Source organism: Homo sapiens, chromosome 19 (assembly GCF_000001405.40).
Source record: "Homo sapiens chromosome 19, GRCh38.p14 Primary Assembly".
In the NCBI taxonomy this organism is placed as follows: domain Eukaryota; kingdom Metazoa; phylum Chordata; class Mammalia; order Primates; family Hominidae; genus Homo; species Homo sapiens.
The window spans coordinates 32,336,374-32,358,622 of NC_000019.10; the positions used below are offsets into that span (position 1 = coordinate 32,336,374).

Sequence of the window (22,249 nt, forward strand, 5' to 3'; positions counted from 1 at the left end):
CCTGTAGTCCTGGCTACTCTGGAGGCTGAGGTGGGAGGGTCACTTGAGTCCAGGAGTTGGAGGCTCAGCTAGGAGTCAGTAGGTAGGATCAGGCCATTGCATTCCAGCCTGGGCCACAGAGAGAGACCCTGTGTCAAAAAAACAAAACAAAACAAACAACCATAGGGGAGAGATGAAATGAACCGCCAAAGACTTGCTCCACCGGCTCTTCAAAGGATGGGAAAAACCAAAAGCGGCTAGAACCTGAGGCCCCAGCCCCTCTCCGTGCAGGAAAGTTGGTTCTGTCACTCATGGGAAGAGTGGACCTGGATTAAACAGGAAAGCTGAGAAGGATGCCACATCCCTGGTTAAAAGGTCAGGGGGAAAATGAGTATATCAAGCAAACTGAGAGGTGTTGCAATTTCAGAAGCAAAGTAATTTTCTTAGATGACAGCATAAGCCACTTTCAGCTTTTTCTTTTCTTTGATCCATCAGCGTTGCCCTGGCCACCAACCAAGTTCACACAGTCCAAGCAGACATTCTGGATTGCATCAACATGTTAGCACTCTTCGTTTTCAAAATGTAGACCATATATAGCTAAGATTAAACCTGTAGCAACCAGCCCCTAGATGTCATTGTTGCTGCTGAAATATCAACTCTTGAGTCTTGGAATTTTTACATCTGAAGAGATAGCAGTGTTCATCTGAATAAGCCCCTTAAATAATGCAAATTCAATTCACTTTCGGTTTTTCAAAGCCAAGTCCAAAGTCTTCTGGACTTCTTAACCAAAATGCAACTAAATCTTAGGGTGTTAGCACACATTCAGTTGCCAACAAAATCCGCATTCAGGAAAAATAGGCTGAAAAACCCACGTAGTCGTATGTGACATTCCTAACGTGCTCACATCAAATTCCACGACATAAGCTGATTATGGAGTCGCTGGGCGATTCTGCCCTTCTTCTTTTCGTGTGTTGTCTGACTTCTGTGCCTGCCTCTGTCATCGGTGTCTGGAGCTCAGAGCCGTCTGTGCCTTGCGAACAGCAGCTTCCAATCAAGGGCGCGTGGAAGAGCAGAAGCGCCCACCCTGTTTCCAACAAGCCATTGAATGCGACATATTCTTTGTTCACAGTGTCCTTCAACTCCATCTCTTCCTTCCATTTCATATCATTCCAGTCCCAGTCTTTGCAAGAACAATACTTTATTGTTTACTGATTGCTTTCTATGAGTCAGACACACATTCGGTTCTTTAAACTTTTCAATGGCCCTGTAAGGTAGGTATGAAGTAACTGAGGCACAGAGAGGTACAGTAACTTGCCCAGGACACACAGCTAGTGAGTGCTAACAGGTTTTGAAGCACAGGGTCAATGAAAACCGGTCCACAGACTAGATTCTTAGGGCCTCTCTGTGGCCAACTCCCTTGTCTCTAACTGGATGCCACGTTTATTCTCTTTCCAAGCCTCCGGCCCTCAATCTCACACCCTATCTTCCCAAAAGATGCTTTTGAGTAGCTCCTCCAATAAACTTTATGCTTGGGAGCATGTCTGCTAAATGAAATCACTTTTTTCTTCGATCATTCAGTGTTTACTGAATGTAGCTACATTTTAGGCCCTGTTCTAGGCCGGAAGGGCAGGAGAGATATTGATGAACAAAACTGACAAGCTCCCCTGGGCTCTTGAAGCTCATTTCCCACCAGGGTAGACACGTGTTGAGGCAGTGATTACACATGGAATTAATGACAAGAGAGTGAAGTCCACAAAGACGCAGGAAATCACACAAGCAGAGCGCCCGACATGGGCCCTCCAACAGAAGGCCCTCAACAGAGGCCTGCTGCCTGTCTCTGCCTGGCCCAGTCCCAGCCCCAATCTGCCTTTCTGGCCAGAGCTCTTCCTGCTCCCCATACTGAGTCCTCCAACCCCAGCAGAGGGGTCTCCACGATCCAGATAGATGCCCTGTGTCCGTGTGCACCTCCCTGCTCCATTCAGGTTGGTCCATTTTCTTCCACGTGCCAAGGTGACCCATTCTTGAACTTAGGTAGCTCAGATTCTGCTTTCCCATTACCTGGTCCTAGGGATGTCCCTGCAGGTGGCCTAGAGATATGAGTGGAAGGAGGAGGCCTGATGCAAGAGGGATGGACATGGCAGCCTGACCACCTAATCATGAAGCTTCATGCACCCCACAGCTCCACTCATGCCTAATTCTGGATGCACCACTTATATCTGGCGACAGATTTCTACTGGGCCTTCCTGCCTTCTGGCCTTGTGGAGCTGAAGATGAGGCCAGAAGGGGCATGCAATTTGCTATTTGCAGTGTGGATGATACGGTTTGGCTCTGTGTCCCCACCCAAATCTCATCTCAAATTGTAATCCCCATATGTCGGGAGGGTCCTGGTGGGGGTGATTAAATCATGTGGGCGGACGTCTCCCTTGCTGTTCTCATGATAGTGAGTGAGTTCTCATGAGATCTGGTTGTTTGAAGTTTGTGGTACTTCCCCCCTTACTCTGTCTCTCTCCTGCTCCAACCATGGTAAGATATGCTTGTTTCCTCTTGCCTGATGCCATGATTGTAAGTCTCCGGAGGCCTTTCAGTCACGCTTCCTCTTAAGCCTGCAGAACTGTGAGTCAATTAAACCTCTTTTCTTCATAAATTACCCAGTCTCAGGTAGCTCTTTAGAGCAGTGTGAGAACGGACTAATATAGTGAACTTTCTCTGGGTACGATATGCATTTTTTCCTTTCCTTTATCACTCATGTCTCTTTCTCAGTGAAAGAAACATCCCAGGCTGGGCATGGTGGCTCACGCCTGTAATCCCAGCACTTTGGGAGGCCAAGATGGGTGGATCACTTGAGGTCAGGAGTTCAAGACCAGCCTGGGCAACATGGTAAAACCCCATCTCTACTAAAAATACAAAAATTAGCCAGGCATGGTGACATATGCCTATATTCCCAGCTACTCGGGAGGCTGAGGCAGGAGAATCGTTGGAACCCAGGAGGCAGAGGTTGCAGTGAGCTGAGATTGCACCACTGCACTCCAGCCTGGGTGACAGAGCGAGAGTGTCAGTGTCAAAAAATAAAAATTAATTAATTAATTAATTAATTAAATAAACATCCCAGAAGGTCAAATACTATACCATGTTCCCTCTGCTTGGTCTTCCCCAGTATACGAAGAGCTCAAGCTGGGAATCTTAGAAGATAGACTCCTTGCAATCTGCAGTTATCCATTTACTGATGTCTTAAGCAAGAAGTAGAACTCCCAGCCAGTCGGTGATGATGCCAGCAGCTCCTCCTAGTCTATCACCTCAAAAGGAGCTGTCAAAATAACAAATGACATATTTTTAAGTTGCAGGATTACCCCTTAGCTGGGCTTTCTTGGTTTGATTAGCAGTTACTTTTCCTTTTAGTGTCTTTCTTCATCTTCTCCTCCTTCTTCTTTTCATTTTCTTCCTCTGCTCCACTCATCAATAAAGGCCACTGTTTTCAGGAAACTGCTTCCCTAGGAAGAATTGAACAGTATACTATTACAATCATATTGTCTTGTTCAGAAGCAGGTGGTATTACCTGTCAACAGGGGTTTGGGGCAGAGCAAATAGCTCCCACCCAGCTCGGTGAAGCCACTCCCTGGCTCCTGGGTAGAGAAAAATGGCCAAAGAAGAGAGCTCTTTGGAGGCCTCAAAATCTCATTTTCATTCCCTTTGCAGAGAAGAGACTGACTTTATTGACAAAGACGACTGAAAATTGCTTGAGCGTTCCAATAACCAGTCTGCGTTGAGGCAGAAAGACAGTCTGGCGGAGGCAAGCTCCCTGCTCCACCGCTAGCTCCGCCGAGCCACGCTTTCCTGCAGCACCAGTCTGTGGCATATGCAGACTAGACTGAAAGGAGCCTCCTGTCGGCCTCAAAAGCAGCCCCCCTCCACCTCCACTCCCAGCCTGCTGGTGCGTTTCCTGGATCCCAATCACAAATCAACACGAATGCAGGGAATCTCTGCCAGACACCAAACTCTTAGGCTGATTCAGGAGCTTGGGGTCAGGCCTAAGTTGGCTTGGACCAGGCACAGGTCCCATTTTCCACTGGAGTGCCCTGTGGCTTGGCTGCACATTGCGCGTGGGCCACTAGATGTCACCATTATTGATTCTTGTCCTTATACCCAGGTCCTGAGTCTAAGACAGGGTCTCAGGGCTAGGAGAACTCTGGAGAGAATTCCATCGCAGCGTTGACTGCAGGGCTGCTATATTTGCTATGTCTGAGTTCCTCGGTGGGCCTTTTCTAAATAAGTTAGCATCTCAGCCCCAAAACAGCTGAGCTGCAAATTAAGCAAAGACCAGTATTAGCCAGAGCCAACCCTGATTTTCACAATCACGTCCCCTGCCCTTTCTCCTCCTCTTCATCGTCAGGGTTGGTCATTATGCATCCTTCTGGTTTACTTGGGCCCTCAATAAGAAATAAATTAATATGTATGCCTCATAGCACCAAGGATTTTAGATGTTGATGTGCTGTTGAAGAAACATAGGTCTGTGGCTTTTAGCAGAGAATGAATGACAGAGGGATAATTTATGATGGTCCTTGAGACCTGAACTACAATTATGAAGTATTTCTAGGTGTATATTCAGGATGCAAAGTGCAAGGAACCCAGAGCTAATGTTAATTTATTACTGACAGCTGTATATATAATAATATATCACGTCTTTTCATCTTACATTCCTTCTGACTTACATCAAGCAATCTTTTCATTCATTAATAAAATCAAGTCTTGCCATTATTCTTAATGATGAAGTCCCATCTTGAACCCAGAGGACTCCTATCATTAAACTCCGTGCTTCTATATACCAGTCATCTGAAGCTCAAAAAAAAGGATAAATTGAACTTCTTGTTTTACAAGCAAGGTGAAAACATCGGAAAGATAGAGCCCACTTGCTCACAGTCCCACAAGGGCTAAGTAGCAAAGTCAGGGACAATTTCGGGGTTTATTTTTCTCAGCTCGCACTACCACATCCTTTTTTGCCTTTTAGCTCTCTTGCCTCCTCTCACCTTTCTACAATCTCTCCTTTTTTGAGGCAGTATTTTTTTTTTTTTTTTTTTTTTTTTTTGAGACGGAGTCTCGCTCTGTCGCCCAGGCTGGAGTGCAGTGGCGGGATCTCGGCTCACTGCAAGCTCCGCCTCCTGGGTTCACGCCATGCCTCAGCCTCCCAAGTAGCTGGGACTACAGGCGCCCGCCACTACGCCCGGCTAATTTTTTTGTATTTTTAGTAGAGACGGGGTTTCACCGTTTTAGCCGGGATGGTCTCGATCTCCTGACCTCGTGATCCGCCCGCCTCGGCCTCCCAAAGTGCTGGGATTACAGGCGTGAGCCACCGCGCCCGGCCGAGGCAGTATATTTTTTAAAGGTCATGATAAAAATTACACCTTAAAGAAATACGGGCCACACGTCTCGTCCAATTTTCGGTTCTGTGCCAAAGACTTACATGATTAATCCCTTCAAAACAAATCTAATCTAATCTTATCACACCAAAGACAAGGTGTCCTTCATAAGTATTGTGGCTGGAAACAAGTAGGTCTTCCTCCAGTTTCAACTCGTTCAATGTCTCATTCAGTTTACAACCAGTCATCACCTTGGCAACTTACTCGAGGCACTGTCTTCAGCGTTCCCAAAACGTAAGTAGTGCTCCAGTTCAGCTTGTAAAATCATCAAACTCCGTGGTCACTTTAGGAGATACAGAGACCCATGATACTTGTAGATAAAGCGAAACCTTTAGCCTCATCGACTAATTAATGGCCTCAAAGTAAAATAATGAGGTGTGTGGAGATAGGGATTCAGTTACTGGGTCATCTCTCATCTGGAGACACAATCAGATTCCACTGAATAGGCGCTAGATAACTGAATAAGCGAGTTTCCTATCTATAATACTAAATCTTACTAGGATTGTTTAATTAAATCATGATAAATAACACTCTGTGGCAGGTGAGAGGTGCTGAGAAGAGCTTAGGTGAGATGTCCACAAGTTCAATGGAACTACATCTGAATGCCTTTGCATTCTTCTGACTTAAAAATGTTGACTGTAACTTTCCAGAGAGTTCTTTTCTAGGAAAGAGAAATACTGAGGTGCTGTGTCCCAGGCTTTTTGAAGTTGTCTTGGTTTTCCTATCAGATTCTGCATTGTATACTTTCTCAGTCTTCAGGAATGAAGGTCCTAATTCCTTCATTATCATTCCTTTCTGCCTATAATGATTTCTTCCTAATGGCTCTGGCTGTTCCAGGTACATCAGAGTAGGGAGTGGGTATCAGTGGCTGTGTCATGCTACAGTAACAAGCAGATTTCTCAAAGAACTAACATTAGAACTACCATTCCACCCAACAATCCCACTACTGGGTGTATACCCAAAGGAAGATAAATCATTTTACCGAAAAGACACCTGCACTCATATATTTACTGAAGCACTATTCACAATTGCAAAGACATGGAATCAACTGAAGTGCCATCAATGGTAGACTGCATAAAGAAAATGCGGTACATATACAGCAAGGAATACTATGCAGCCATAAAAAAGAACAAAATCATGTCCCTTGCAGCAACATGGATGCAGCTAGAGGTCATTATCCTAAGCAAATTAACACAGAAACAGAAAGCCCAATACTGCATGTTCTCACTTATAAGTGAGAGCTAAACATGGGGTATACATGGACATAAAGAAGGGAACAATGAACACTGCAGATCCCAAAAAGGGAGAGGCAGGGAGGGGGGCAAGGTTTGAAAAACTACCTATAGGGTACAATGTTCACTATTTGGGTGAGGGAATCAATGGAAGCCCATACCTCAGCATCATCTAATATACCATGTAACAAATCTGCACATGGACCTCCCTAATCTAAAATTGAAGGAAAAAAAAGGCCAGGTGCGGTGGTTCATGCCCGTAATCCCAGCAATTTGGGAGGCCAAGGTGGGTGGATCATCTGAGGTCGGGAGTTCGAGATCAGCCTGGCTGACATGGTGAAACCCCATCTACTAAAAATACAAAAACAAGCCGGGCGTGGTGATATGTGCCTGTAATCCCAGCTACTCTGGAGGCTGAGGCAGGAGAATGGCTTGAACCCAGCAGGTGGAGGTTGCAGTGTGCCGGAATCGCACCATTGTACTCCACCCGTGGCGACAGGGTGAGACTCTGTCTCAAAAAAACAACAACAAAAAATCAGCTCCAAAATCATCAGAGACTTGCTCACCCTACATATCCACCACCATGGGTCAGCTGGGGACTCAGCTCATCATTGTCCCTCTAAGATGCTGGCTGACGGGATGGCCGCCACCTGAAACACTGCCAGTCATCAAGCCAAAGGGAAACATACTCTGGAGGGAACTGCACTGGCAATTAAATGCTCCAGTATGAAGGGAATGCCCTCACTCCCACACACGATCCATTAGCCAACACCAGTACTGGCCACACCCCCGAGCCACAGGGTCAATGGAAACTAACCTTATGCCAGAAGAGGGACAATGGGAACTAGCTGGTGAATACCAGTAATGACCACCACAGGAACTTCAAACGAAGATACACTTTCGTTCGCTTGTTTTAAAAGTTCTTTATTATCCCTAGATTATATTTTCTCTATTGTGTTTCTGCACTCTCCCTTGATCAAATAATTCTGTCATTTCGTCTGTCTACTTTCAGATTCATGGACATTACACTTAAGACATGACTAACGAAAAGCCTCTCTTCAGATAATGATAAGTTAGGATTGTTTGTGCCAATAGCCCAAGGCAAGGAATTTCTCATATTACTTGTTTGTTCTCCCTTTCAACACTTCGTATTTCTGGGTTTTCTTCACTGTTTTTTCTTTCCACCCTTCCATGCTAGTCTCCTGCTCAATCTCTTACCTTTTATCGAAAAAAAAATTACTCAACATTTTATTTTTTCACAGCTATTTGGTCTAATTGGCAAAGGATTCTGTGGAATAGCAGAATTCTAACTTTGCAGCCGGGCGCGGTGGCTCACGCCGGTAACCCCAGCACTTTGGGAGGCTGAGGCGGGCGGATCATGATGTCAAGAGATCGAGACCATCCTGGCCAACATGGTGAAACCCCGTCTCTACTAAAAATACAAAAAAATTAGCTGGGCATGGTGGCACGCCCTGTAGTGCCAGCTACTCGGGAGGCTGAGGCAGGAGAATCACTTGAACCTGGGAGGTGGAGGTTGCAGTGAGCCGAGATTGCGCCCCTGCACTCCAGCCTGGGGAGAGAGTGAGACTCTGACTCAAAAAAATAAAATAAAAATAAAAATAAAAATTCTAACTTTGCTGGTTTCCTAACCCCCAAATTCAGATGAATTTGAATTCTGAAATACAGTAACAGGAATTATCAGCCTGTCTGATTCTAAATTTTGTTGGATCTTCCTCCCAGGACCGTGGACAGCCCAGCCAGCTGTAAAGGCCTCTAAAAAGATCTGGAACAGATCCCCAAGAGGTATCTCACCAAATGAGTCCATTCCACTACAATGGCCAGAATCTTCAGTTTTACACCCTTGCTCATGCCCACCGCTCACCCGGAGTCCAGACCCAAGCACCATGCTGCGTAGTTCCTAATACGGCAAAACTATCCAGCATTTTTGGTGAAATTGGCTGGAATGCTTCACTTAGTCCGTTTTTCACTGTTAGCAGGAGAACCACCCTAGTATCTTTCATAGAACAGATCCGAATGACAAACACCATCGTGCCCTCGGAGGGCTGAGCTTGTGTTACTGGGTCTGGTCCTACAAACCCTGAAAATCCTGAATCTCTCAAGCAAAGAGATTCCCCAGGGCCAGCTCTGGCCCTTAACAGGCACCCCTTAACGCCAAGCTGCGAATCTGGCTAGGACCTCTATATTTTAGCCAAGAACACCTTGAAATGTACAGTCCTACCAAAGGAACTAATACAAATCCAGAAGCACAAGGCTAAAGAAAAAAAAAAAAAAAACCCCAATGCCCATTGTTGAAAGCCAATTGCGGGGTGAGTGGGGTGATAAGGCTAGCCCACAGCGGATTTAGGCGACGTGGGGAGATGCCAAAGTGAATACACGGTGACTTCTAAATCTAGACGTCTGGAAGGGGCCATGAGAGCCAGACAACTGGGCCCGAACCCCGCCCGGGAGCCAGGGTTTGCAAGGGGCTAAACCGGCTGGGGAGCCTCCCTCTCGCGGGTCCAGCCTCGGCGGCCCGGGACGCCGGTAGGCGGGGCCTGAGCCTCGCCCCGCCCCCGCTGCCCGCCATTCGGGTCACCTGACCCACCCGCGGCTCACGTGATCCGTCCCCAGCGCCGCCATTTTGGAGCTCCGGATGAGGAGGGGGAAACCGGGGGAAAAGAGGGAAAAGAGCCGGGAGAGAGGTGGGCAAGGACGAGGGCGAGGGCACGGCCGGGTCCTGGCTGGCCAAACGAGGCTCGCGGAAGCAGCAGCCGCCGCCTGACCGCAGGTACCGCGCCCCGGGGCCGCCCCTCCGCCCGCTGTTAGCGCCGCCGCCGGCCATGTGCATCCTCCCCTCAGGCCTCTGCCGGCGCTCGCTTCCTCCTCAGCCGGCCGACCCCCGCCCGGTGCTAGCCACAAGCCCCAAGTTCCGTGTCCCGGTTCTGTCTTCTGTGCAGCAAGGCCTGCGGAGACTCTGGGCTTGCCCTGCAGCTGGGGGTGGGGGGAACTTGCTGCTCCCTGCATACTGTCACCAGCCCGGCCCGCCCGCAGGCGTTGCTTCCTTCTCCAGGCGTTGCTTCTTTCTGCAAATGTGAGATCGCTTAGGCCAGCCGGGATGGACCCAGCCACGATGTTCTCACAGCATCTTTTGATTAATTTTCTAAGCTCCCTCATTCCCGACCCATCACCTCAGTCCTTTAGCCAGTGCGTGGTGTAGAAAAAGCTACTACAGAAACGCAGCCCTGGTCTTCTGCATTTATTACCATCCTCTGGAGATAGAATGATGTCTCCAGAGATCACGGAGACCATCAGGGAAAGTTCCCACCTCTTAAGACCTGGGGGCATCGGAATGAATGGTTTGTGTAGAAGGCCGGGATGATTAATAAGGTGGCGGCCACTTTCCCAACCCCAAGGCGGTATTTTTAAGTTTCTGCAGTGGGCTGTAATTTGCTATCAGTCTGCATCGCTCTTCTCAGGCAATTACTGGATTTATCACCTCTTTGAGTTTGCACTTTCTCCAGTACTCCCCTCTCACTCAGAGTATGGGTTGCATTATTGATTAAAAGAAAGCCTGGCCCTTCATTCCTTTACCTCACTAACTCGTTGAAAATTAACTTCAGGGGAGCCCTAAAGATGTTTTTTCTGCCCTGGCAGTGAGCTATTTTACTTAACCGTAATCGATAAGGTAGTTGCATTCTAGGTGAAACGAATAAGCATTTTTTTATCTTTTAGATTTATTCCAGCCAGTATAAGAAACAGTGGCAAAGAAATGTAGGACCAGAGTAGGAAACTGCGTTAGAAGATATATAGGTCACACCACTGTGTCATATCTTTTTATGCTGTTTTTCTGCCTATTGTGCTTGGTTGCAGAATCACTCGTTAGATTGTATTTTTAGTTTAGATTAAAATAGCAATGTGCAATTTATTGTTCCATTCTCATTAGAAAATGTTGTCAGTAAAACCAATAGTGTTGAGTCCAGTACCTAAATTCTGAGGTAAAACAAAATACACAATTATTGGGAGAAGTTTCCAGAGCTATTTTTTCCTAACTTCTGCAAAATCCTCAAGTCGGCTTGTTAGATAAATTATTTAAATTTGCATTACGTAATAGGGTTGCATGAACATTCCTCTGAATTTCTTTTTACATGGAATATTGAGAAATTTTTCACTGCCAAAAAAAAAATCATTACTTTGTTTCACCAAGAAAGAGAAATGTTTTGATACTATATACTTTCGTTCTTGGCCACAGCTGGATTTTGAAGATTGATCCAAGGGACTGTATTAATTTCAGGAATTGATTTGAAAGACACTGGCTCTGCCACTTAACAGCCATGTAACCTTGGGTAAGTCACTTAAACCACACTGAGTGTTTCCTTATTTATAAGACTGTATAACACCCACCTAGCCTGTCCTAAAGAGTTATGAGGATCAGATACCACTAACATGTTTGATAGAGCCTAGCTGTAAGGAGCTGTTACTCTTTTCAGTATTGATATTTTGTACATTTTTATTCTCATTGAGAATTAAGATGAAAATTGGTGTATTAGAGAAAGCATGGTTTTAGAGTGAGATTGGCCTGGATTCCTGTTCTTAAACCAGTTACCACTTTGTGTCTGTGAGTCTCAGGTTTCTCATCTGCAAAAAAAAAAAAAATACACAAAATTTGAATATTACACAAAATCTACAGAGGCATTACTCCCTAGACTTGCACCTCATGGGCAAGGATTTCCTCAGTCATTTTTGTAGTCCCCAGCATTCTGGTTGGCACATTATAGGTGCTCAATAAATGACAGTAAATCTGAATATTGGTTAATGTTAGTTAGACCTTATGTCTTCATTGCAGCTGCCAAATTAGAATATTCTCTCAGGCTATGTGCCAACTAAGAAACTCTAGACTATGAAACTCCATATACTTGTGATATTTATACTCATTTTTTTCTTAGTGGTAATTAATAATTACCTTGGGCTCAGAAGATTTTAAATCAAATAAATTGTAGCCAATATAGTGAGGTAAATCTATAAATAATGTGTAAGCAGTTTCCAGGTAACTTTATAGACAGTTTATAATTCAGGGACCTGAAAGTTCATCTAGCTTCACCCTCTTGTTTTACATCTGAGCAATCTAAAACTCACAGAGACAGTGACTTGCCTAAGGTCACACAGCTAATTGAGGGCACTTTAGGGGAGGGACCCTTGAGCTTATGTCCCCTGCCTTCTTTTGGCTGGAGCAAAATAAATTTGTCATATTTTAGAATTACAATAATCTGGAAGAATGGGGAATTTATTGGCCATTACTTTTATAGCACAATTTTTTTTTTTTTCCCATTTTGGAAAAAACAAATTCTTGTTCTGAAAGAGAAGGTTCTTTTGTATCATATTGTACTTTTCTTCATATAAACACAGAAAATTACAGCCTTTTCTCCAGGCCCACATGAATTGTTCAACTTGATTTTACTCATGATGACCATACTACTGTAATTATAAAGAACTAATTAGATACCCAAATAACCAAATAGCAAATTATAAGGAAATAAAGACAACTGAAATAATTTGGCTCCTAACTTTTTGTGAGAAAGATATTAATTAGAAGCATTTGCCTGTGGAATACTGTTGTCAAGGAAAGATTTGAGAGAGTTGGTGGAAAGGGTTATAGAACTTTTCTGGTTTGGGATACAACTTTTGTTTATTACTTATTTATTGGTAACAATTTAATATATTTAATGTTGTTATGTCTAAACATTACAAACAAGAAATCTCCTGTTTTGCTAATGCCTGTCGTCTTCTTTCCTCCTGGTGAACTTTCCTATTCAGCCATATCGATCTTTTCACTCACCCCCAGATAGCATGCTTATTCTTACTTCTAAAAATATAGTCATGTCATGGCTGCTTTTCTGGTCACTGCTACCCTTGTGTCAACTTGTATCAGCAGTATTCCAAGGAAGCAAATGGCACGTTGAAATGAGGATAATTCAAGGAAGGTATATTTACAAAGATATTAGTAATAAAGGTGTTGGACTTCAATAAGCAAACCACAGCATAATGCAGTTATCTGGAGCTAGCAGCATTAGGAGAGGGAGAGGCATCAGAATCAGAAGAAGGGTCTTGGAGAGCAGCCTACCTGGAAAGAAATAGCCTTCTATTGAGGAACACAGCCAATCCAAGGTGACCTAGAGGTAGAGAACCAGGACGATGAATATTCTGATCTCACTCTGCTACCTCCCTCTGATCTGTCATGGTTCTTCATTGGCTGACCTCAACCAGAAGGCAGAGGACAGGGGAGCCTAGTGATGTAATCCCTCTGACAGAGAGCAGAATGGAAAGGAGGATACAGTGAGCCTAGAGGGCAAATGGATGATGTCTGGCATGCTGCCCATCCTTTGGGAACCAGTGGACATCTTACCTCTCCATGAAGCTTTTGCTTACCTTGCTAGCCCAAAAGAGCTCTTCAGTATCTTTCAGGATTTAGTCATTGACTGTTGCCTTTTATTTTACCTTGTGTACCATTGCGTTGTTTAAATGCTGTTACTTTTTAACTTCCAAATGTTTGCCTTATCCACTCAACTCAGTTTTAAACTGCAAGTATTAAGAATTTAAAATTTTTCCTGATACTTTGCCTTGCGCCTTGCACATAACAATTTGTTTGTTACACACACACACATATTTGTATTTCTGCATTAGTGGTCTAAATAAAATTTCTGTGATTTTAAGGAATCAAGAAAGTTGAAGGATTGGCCTTAAGGTAACTTCCCCTCTGTGTATACTTTATTATGATCTGTTTAGCCTTTTTATTATGAAAAATGTTAAACATTTACATAAGTAGAAAGAACAGTGAATTCCTAGGTACTCATCATGCAACTTCAATTACAGAATTAGTCATTCTTTCTTTATTCTCATCCTATCCACCCCACCACTGCAGTATCACCAAGGTAATTGTTTTAAAGCTGTGCTTACACTGATCTCTTGGAGGCCAAGGAGAGTATGCAGATTGTCATAGTTTATGTTGTCATCACTATTGAGCCACTGACATTGTATGTATACTCCTTATTTCATCTCTTTTGTTCAGATTTGCTTCACTTGACACACAATCTCATATATATGTATTTCTGCATTAGTGGTCTAAGTAACATTTTTGTGAAAATTGAAAGAGTTGGCCTTACAGTAACTTCCCCTCTGTGTATACTTTATTATCAGCTGTTTATCTAACCTTTTTTTTTTTTTTTTAACAGAGACTTGTTTTTATGAGATTAACCTGTGCATTGATTTTGCATGGGGACCCAAACTGGTTTTTCAGGTGTTTCCTGACGTATTTCATGTTGTCATATCTGTTTTATAGCTGCCATTACTGTACTTATCCCCAAATGTATGCAGCCTTTAAAATGAGATACTTACATAAATGTTCAGGGAAAATTGGAGCATCTGCTGCAAATTTCCATTAGCTCTTAATGCCTGAGCCGACACAGCTTTAAAAATCTGAATGTTTTGTCAGATTCTTTTGTATTAGTCTTTTTCTTGAGTTAAGATGAACTCCTCCTTCTCTTCATTTCACTTTCTTTTTAAGGTACACACTGAAATATCCACAGGGAGCAATTTGCACTGGTCTGTGTCACTTCTCTTATTAAGTAGAAGAAAGATAACATGAGTCACCTTTGTAACCCTACGGGTGTGCAAAGTCTCTTGAGCAAACATTCACTTGTTAACCTCCAGATGATCAGTCAGCCTACATGGGTGTTACATTTCATGGGGAAGGAGACCTTAGATCTACAGCAGAGAGCCGTATCGTGTTCAGGAGGATTCCTATTATTAAACTTATTATTTAATCAATTTGCATTTAACCATTGAACTGACAGACATAAGGCCTTAAGTTAATCACCTTAAAGGGAAATCAGTAGTCACATGAAGAGCCACAGCTCCTCTTGGCCTAAAAATGTGGAATTCTAAGACAATAAAGTGACTTAGGAAGTCACAAAAGGGTTTTTCTAAGGAAACAAATTGTTCCCCCATTGGTCTCCTCTTTAATGACTTACAGCTGAGCGTAGAGATCTAAAAAGACTTTTGTTCCTTCTACCTGAGAAAGATGAAACAGAACTAGTCTTTTGAGAGATTGTTTAAGGGAGAGTGGCTGAAGGACCACGGGCCTTTGGGAGCCAGGGTAGCTGTCATTGTTGGAATGGCCATGGAATGCATGTGAGGGCAGTTAGAGACAGCTAGTAGCCAAGAGAAAAAAAGCTGATGCCATAGGGCAGAGTATTATTAGGAAGAAGGGAAGAAATAGTACTGAAGAAGCCAAGAGTAAAGTGTTTGCATTTTTGCCTGATGTGGACCTAGATCTAGAAAGCTGGCTTGCCAGAAGGAGTAGAAAATCAGGAAGAAAAGCCATAGCTGCTGCCCAGAGTTGTGGGCGACCTGGCACTGAAGCTGGTCAGCTGTGTGTGTGTGTGTGTGTGTGTGTGTGTGTGTGTGTGTGTGTGTGTGTGTGGCGTGGGGGGGCGGGGCCTGTTTTTGTGTTTGTGTATATGTGTGTGTGTGTGGCGTGGGGGCGGGCGGGGCCTGGCAGGACATTAGGTATCATCTTGGCAGGGGCTGAAGGGCCCTTATATGTTGATTCAACCATGCGGGGAAGAACAGCCATGATTCACCACCTAAAATAAGAATTCAGAGCCTGGGACTGAAGTTTAAGAATAGTGTGGTCTTTGGTCTATAGCTAGTGCCACTAAAAATTTTGTTGGCATTTATTGAATGTTGTGAGTAAGATTCCAGAATGCACCTAAAATGTGGAAAAACAAAACTTGTTGCTGGAAAAAAGCCTAAACTTAAAAATGTGATCCAAGTCAACAAATTAATCTCACTTTAAGCCAAAGGAAATGTTTGAAATGAAAGTACTGCCAGGAAATAGAAAGAGTATTCTAGACTTAGGCAGAAAGATTTATGGGTATTTTATGTTTAGTGACTTCCTCAGCCATAATGCATTATTAGAACGAACAAATAACCTCTTCTAAGGACTCTGTTCATATCTGGAACTGAAACACAACTGGGATATCAATTTTTTCCTTCTCTGATGTCCCTTACCCTTTCAGGGAAAAAAAAAAAAACCATATATGTGGATATGAGTAATAGTTGACCACTAATATGACCTCTAAAAAAAAACCACAGCATAGTTTGTGGTTTATCTTCAGGAAGATAAAGGAAGTAAAAGTAGGAACTAGATTATTGCTTTTATTTAATTTCATTTATATAGTACTTTCCCAAATTCAATATGCCCTGTACAAACTACATGACTATAGTTTCACAATTTCAAAGATTTGGGGAGAAAAAAAACAAATTTGTGATTTTAGTAATAAAACTGCAGCTATATTTGGTATAAGAAATACTCTCAAGAATTGTATCAGTCATTGGCTTTACAGAGTGATGTTTCACAGTAACTGGAGGGGTTTCACATGCCTTGAGAATGGCTGTGCTCCTTTAATCAAGGAATAGGAGTCTTTTTTTTTTTTTCTTGGCATTGTGCAAAAGGGAGGGAGTACTTTTGGTCCTGCTGGATGCTGAAGGCAAAGAAAGTGAAGAAAAATGGAGAAAAAGATCATCATTTCCGAAGAAATAAGTGATAGAGGGGAGTATCTTCATCATTAGTCTTGATAGAAGATTGCATTGTAAAGAGAAATTCTAACCAATTTAAATCTATACTGGGGATCGCCGGGTGTGTGGACATGGAGCTTCCAGCTTAGAAAATACTTAGATGAGATTACAGACACTAACATTCTCTTATATTTTCCAAATTACATGCCTGTAATTATCCTGTAACCTGGTATTTTTCTGTTTTACATTATCCTTTTTAGATATGGAAGAAAGTAGCAGTGTTGCCATGTTGGTGCCAGATATTGGGGAACAGGAAGCTATACTGACTGCTGAAAGTATCATCAGTCCTTCATTGGAAATTGATGAACAAAGAAAAACTAAACCAGATCCATTAATCCATGTTATCCAGAAGTTAAGCAAGATAGTGGAAAATGAAAAGTCACAAAAATGTCTTTTAATTGGGAAGAAACGCCCACGTTCAAGTGCTGCAACACACTCTCTTGAAACCCAAGAACTTTGTGAGATTCCGGCTAAAGTAATCCAGTCACCTGCTGCTGATACTAGAAGGGCTGAGATGTCACAAACAAATTTTACCCCTGACACTCTTGCCCAGAATGAAGGGAAGGCTATGTCTTATCAGTGTAGCCTTTGTAAGTTTCTATCATCATCCTTTTCCGTGTTAAAAGATCATATTAAGCAACATGGTCAGCAAAATGAAGTGATACTGATGTGCTCAGAGTGCCATATTACATCTAGAAGCCAGGAGGAACTTGAAGCCCACGTGGTGAATGACCATGACAATGATGCCAATATCCACACCCAATCCAAAGCCCAACAGTGCGTAAGCCCCTCCAGCTCTTTGTGTCGGAAAACCACAGAAAGAAATGAAACCATTCCAGATATCCCAGTAAGTGTGGACAATCTACAGACTCATACTGTCCAAACTGCATCTGTGGCAGAAATGGGTAGGAGGAAATGGTATGCATACGAACAGTACGGCATGTATCGATGCTTGTTTTGTAGTTATACTTGTGGCCAGCAGAGAATGTTGAAAACACACGCTTGGAAACATGCTGGGGAGGTTGATTGCTCCTATCCAATCTTTGAAAATGAAAATGAACCCCTAGGCCTGCTGGATTCTTCAGCAGCTGCTGCGCCTGGTGGGGTCGATGCAGTCGTCATTGCTATTGGAGAGAGTGAACTGAGTATCCACAATGGGCCATCAGTGCAAGTGCAGATTTGCAGCTCAGAACAGTTATCATCTTCATCTCCTTTAGAACAGAGTGCAGAAAGAGGAGTACACCTAAGTCAGTCAGTTACCCTGGACCCCAATGAGGAAGAAATGCTAGAAGTGATTTCTGATGCAGAGGAGAATCTGATTCCTGATAGCCTGCTTACATCAGCACAGAAAATCATCAGCAGCAGCCCCAATAAAAAAGGGCATGTTAACGTGATAGTGGAGCGATTGCCAAGTGCTGAAGAAACCCTTTCACAGAAGCGCTTCCTCATGAACACTGAAATGGAAGAAGGGAAGGACCTGAGCCTGACAGAAGCTCAGATTGGGCGCGAAGGAATGGATGATGTTTATCGTGCTGATAAATGTACTGTTGATATTGGGGGATTGATCATAGGCTGGAGCAGTTCAGAGAAAAAAGACGAGTTAATGAATAAAGGCCTGGCTACTGATGAGAATGCCCCACCAGGCCGGAGAAGGACAAATTCTGAGTCTCTTCGATTACACTCATTAGCTGCAGAAGCCCTTGTCACAATGCCTATAAGAGCTGCAGAGTTGACAAGAGCCAACCTGGGGCACTATGGAGATATAAACCTTTTAGATCCAGATACTAGTCAAAGGCAAGTAGATAGTACATTGGCAGCGTACTCAAAAATGATGTCGCCACTTAAAAACTCTTCAGATGGATTAACTAGTCTTAACCAAAGCAACTCCACCTTGGTAGCACTCCCAGAGGGTAGGCAGGAATTGTCAGATGGGCAGGTTAAGACAGGCATCAGCATGTCCTTACTCACCGTCATTGAAAAATTGAGAGAAAGGACAGACCAAAACGCTTCAGACGATGACATTTTGAAAGAGTTGCAGGACAACGCCCAGTGCCAACCCAACAGCGATACAAGTTTGTCCGGAAACAATGTGGTGGAATACATCCCGAATGCTGAACGACCCTACCGTTGCCGCCTGTGTCACTACACAAGTGGCAACAAGGGCTACATCAAGCAGCACTTACGAGTCCATCGACAGAGACAGCCTTATCAGTGTCCTATCTGCGAGCACATAGCGGACAACAGCAAAGATTTGGAGAGTCACATGATCCACCACTGTAAGACAAGAATATACCAGTGCAAGCAGTGTGAAGAATCCTTCCATTATAAGGTAAGCATTGGTTCAGGAAGTCTTTCAGAGGACCTTCGCATCTTAGAGTGAGAAGGGAACTTTGTAGATCTAATCCAATCACCTCATTTTATAGATAAGGAAACTGGGTCCCAGAAAAGTTTGATAAGTTGCCCAAGGGGATCCCAACTTACCAGTATTAAAGTTGGGACTGTTCAGAATTTCTGCTGTAGAATCCTTTTCCCTGCCTGCTGCCTCCTTGACAGCCTCTGTGTTTTAGTGTGTATAGTTTAAAGTGTTGATTTTCTGTTGCAAGAGAATTGTAGGGAGTGTATAGTGGATTGACATACGTTTGACTTAACGTATTGACATACGTTTGACTTAAACAAATTTAACCGTACATCATCACAACAAAAAAATACATATTTTTCATCTTATATGGCCCCAGAATGCCAGGCATTCAGTTCAGCTTCTACATAACCAACAGTGATGTGTATCATTGCAGAAGGAAAAATGGGCTATGGCGGACCTATTAAAAGGTACTGTCATGGAAATAGAGCCATGTGTGTCATGTTTTATGGGCAGGGTAAAGAACTTTCAAGAGTTATTTTGACTGTCTGATTTTTATCTTAAGTGCTGACCTTATCAAAACCAATATCCTGTATGAAGTGCTATTCTTTTATAAAGGAAACGTTGAATCATTGGTTTAGAACTTTTCTTCAGTGGGCCAGGTGACTCCTTGAAAATGTATTACAAATGTTATCCTAAGGGCTAACTAGGAGGTAGACTTTTTCCCTCAGATTACCGAGAGCTGGGGTCTAGCTGTGGTAAAAAGGTCACAGGAGGGAGGCCGAGGCGGGCAGATCATGAGGTCAGGAGATTGAGACCATCCTGGCTAACACTGTGAAACCCTGTCTGCTAAAAATACAAAAACTTAGCTGGGTATGGTGGTGGGCACCTGTAGTCCCAGCTACTCGGGAGGCTAAGGAAGGAGAATGGCCTGAACCTGGGAGGCGGAGCTTGCAGTGAGCCAAGATCATGCCGCTGCACTCCAGCCTGGGCAACAGAGCGAGACTCCATCTCAAAAAAAAAGGTAACAGGAATAAGAAAGCCCTTGAGTCTGAGGTTCACTGCTTCTCAGATTACACTCATGAAATTCCAAGTAGGATGTCCACATAGGCTGCAAAGACAAGTTCCTGAAGTCTCCAGGAGTTTCTTTTGCTACTGAGCTCTTGATTCATGGGAATGGAAGTAGAGGAGACAGGATGTCCTTGGAGGAGCACTTCCAGTTAGATCTCTTACACATTTAGATATTTCAATGAAAAATTAGGAGTCTGGTGATTACTGATTGGATTTTTTTTTGTGAAGTTGCATTATTCTGAACACTCTGCTCGTTCCTCCTCTGGGCCTACCAGTGTTTCAGTAAATACGGACACGCCCTGTGTAATCACCTAAGAAAATGGTGACTTCCTTTCAGAGAATATGAAGAGGAACTGTCCGTTGAATGTGATTATGATTTGCTAATGTACTTCTTTCTATAAATTGTCAAATGTGTCAAATGATCCTTTAGCAGACTTGATTTTAAAATATGGTAATTCGTTGTACTAGGCCATGAAAGCAATGAACCTGTTCTTCTACAGCCTCCTAAGAGTTGGACATGTATATTTATTGAAAATTACATATTTCTTTCCACTTTTTAGAGTCAATTGAGGAACCATGAGAGAGAACAGCACAGTCTTCCAGATACCTTGTCAATAGCAACTTCTAATGAGCCAAGAATTTCCAGTGATACAGCTGATGGAAAATGTGTCCAGGAAGGTATCTATGTATTTTGTTATGCAGGCTGCAGTGACTTGCACATGACATAAAAGTGCCCTTAGTTGTCATGGTTGGTTATTTTCAGGGCAAAAGCCTATATTCTCCTCCATTTTTGTACCATGGATGTGAGTGAATCTGATCTCTGTTTCTGAGGAAATGCCAAGTACTGAATGAAGCAGATGATTACTAGGTCCTAGGTGAGAAGCCCTAGATAGTAAGGATTCATCTTCAGTTGAAACTTAAGAGCCCCTTAGAAGGTGATGTACCAGCAAGCCAGAAAAGCAAGCCAGAAAAGCTACAACATGGAAAACAGGCCTCCCCTCCCTCTCTCGGCACCAGTTGACCTACTGAGAACAGAGCTTTTGCAGATGGTAGGCCCCCACCCCAAACTTTAACTGGGGCTCCCCGCTGTGATCTTATTCTTACCCAAGTATGACTGCCAGATTTCATCTGCATTATTAAAAAAAAAAAAGCACACACACAGACACACAAGATCTTTTTATGTACTAGTTAAGTAGCAGTCAACCGAGTTTCTGGTAATAAGAATATTAGAATCAAAAGATTTAATTAGAGCTCCATGAAAAGGCGGATGCCACATCCGGAGAATTAAGGATAAAGTGTACTAAGCTGTGCCGCTTTGGTTCAGCTCACTTAAATTGATATACTTTAAATGTCTCCAGTGTGGCACATAATGTTTATGGGAGATAAGACATATTGGGGTGACTTTCCCTTTTAGATTTGCTAAGAATTAAAGTTAGAAACGACTACAGAGTGAAATGTTTTACCATAATGTTTCATTAAATTATACCCCAGAAAGCATAACTGATTCTAGAATGCTTCTGAAAGAACTGATTTTGACACCACTGTAGCACCAAAATTCTCATGTCAAACAGATGTCATCCCTGTAAAACTCTCTGAAACAAAAGGAGTTTATGATATAGCATCTGTTTTTGCAGTAGATGGCTGAGCTAAAACAGTTTTGTTTCCTTTTTACAAAATAGCCCTAAATGCCTCCTTTTATTTTAATTCATTATGTTTCCATATCCCCTTTAAAGGAGACATTAAAACGTCTGATATGATTGGACCATAAATCCCTAATGAAAGGATGAAGTAAATACTACTCAGTAGCACCACCTGCAGTTAATATCAGTGTTGGAAGATGTCTTTTTTAGCACCGTCCTAAAAAGCAAACATTTCAAACTGTCCAAATGAGTTAACATTAAAATTCACAATTTTAATAAAAAGATTAAAGTGTCAGCTCAAAATTAAAATAACCACTTCAGACTTTACAGTATTAATGAATGTTTACTAGATTTTATGTTGCAGCATCTTTTCTTTGTGGCTCATGCTTTTTTTTTAGGGTTACATGCATGGATTTTTAAATTGCCTGCCATGCCTCTTTTCCTCCACCTGGCTCCATTTGCTTTTTTCTCTCAGTACTGTAGCAGTTCAAATGGCTGCATACTTATACCTGGATGGGTACTTTATTAACTCAATATTAGATATTTTGAAATCTGGTTGTCAGGCCAAAGAAAAAATTTTTAGCTCACAAATAAGGTAATAATAATTCATGCTTTGTTAAAACTTCTTTACCTATTTAGTAAACTTGTTAAACAAGAAGAGAGATTTGTGCCTCTGTGATCCTCAGTCTCTGCCATTCAGATAGCACAGATACCTTAGGGCATGTTTCAGCTTAACATTTGCTTGGCCAAAAGGCATGGCCTGCCTGTCTTGAGCTAGATACTGTGTTAGGTGCTGGGAGTACAGTGAAAGGCATCACTGCCCTTCAGGAATCCAACTCAGTGAAGAAGACAGAACGAGGCTGATGGGTATGTCAGCAGATACCGCAGGAGCTCAAATAGAGCCGCAAGCAAAGCCCTTTCGTATGG

General features: G+C 43.0%; 1 protein-coding gene and 1 long non-coding RNA gene across 3 annotated transcripts in view, besides 4 other annotated features; one reads left to right on the top strand and one right to left on the bottom strand.

The window, feature by feature from the left end:
- Positions 3,816-3,865: an enhancer, noted in NCBI's record as "active region_14428". NCBI's record gives its function as "activates an Ori minimal core promoter by ATAC-STARR-seq in GM12878 lymphoblastoid cells {active_cell/tissue: GM12878}" and the evidence as "EXISTENCE:reporter gene assay evidence [ECO:0000049][PMID:35858748]".
- Positions 9,061-9,190: a silencer, noted in NCBI's record as "silent region_10478". NCBI's record gives its function as "represses an Ori minimal core promoter by ATAC-STARR-seq in GM12878 lymphoblastoid cells {active_cell/tissue: GM12878}" and the evidence as "EXISTENCE:reporter gene assay evidence [ECO:0000049][PMID:35858748]".
- Positions 9,221-9,410: a silencer, noted in NCBI's record as "silent region_10479". NCBI's record gives its function as "represses an Ori minimal core promoter by ATAC-STARR-seq in GM12878 lymphoblastoid cells {active_cell/tissue: GM12878}" and the evidence as "EXISTENCE:reporter gene assay evidence [ECO:0000049][PMID:35858748]".
- Positions 9,237-22,249, top strand: part of ZNF507 (zinc finger protein 507) — a 42,058-nt gene continuing 29,045 nt past the window's right edge. Inside the window, exons 1-4 of one of the 2 annotated variants that reach the window (NM_001136156.2) lie at positions 9,237-9,410; positions 10,872-10,965; positions 16,456-18,584; positions 20,243-20,360. In NM_001136156.2, coding sequence (NP_001129628.1) covers positions 16,458-18,584; positions 20,243-20,360 — 2,245 coding nt within the window. In that variant the 5' untranslated portion in view covers positions 9,237-9,410; positions 10,872-10,965; positions 16,456-16,457. The remainder of the gene's footprint in view (positions 9,411-10,871; positions 10,966-16,455; positions 18,585-20,242; positions 20,361-22,249) is intronic. The other variant, NM_014910.5, reaches the window with a different exon arrangement.
- LOC124904689 (uncharacterized) lies at positions 11,112-12,980 on the bottom strand. Its single transcript, XR_007067225.1, has 2 exons — positions 12,741-12,980; positions 11,112-11,257 (listed from the first exon to the last, which is right to left on the bottom strand). It is a non-coding gene; the product is annotated as an uncharacterized LOC124904689 (long non-coding RNA).
- Positions 18,361-18,529: a silencer, noted in NCBI's record as "fragment chr19:32845640-32845808 (GRCh37/hg19 assembly coordinates)". NCBI's record gives its function as "represses an EF-1alpha promoter that drives an FKBP-Casp9 reporter gene in an ReSE screen in HepG2 liver carcinoma cells {active_cell/tissue: HepG2}" and the evidence as "EXISTENCE:reporter gene assay evidence [ECO:0000049][PMID:32094911]".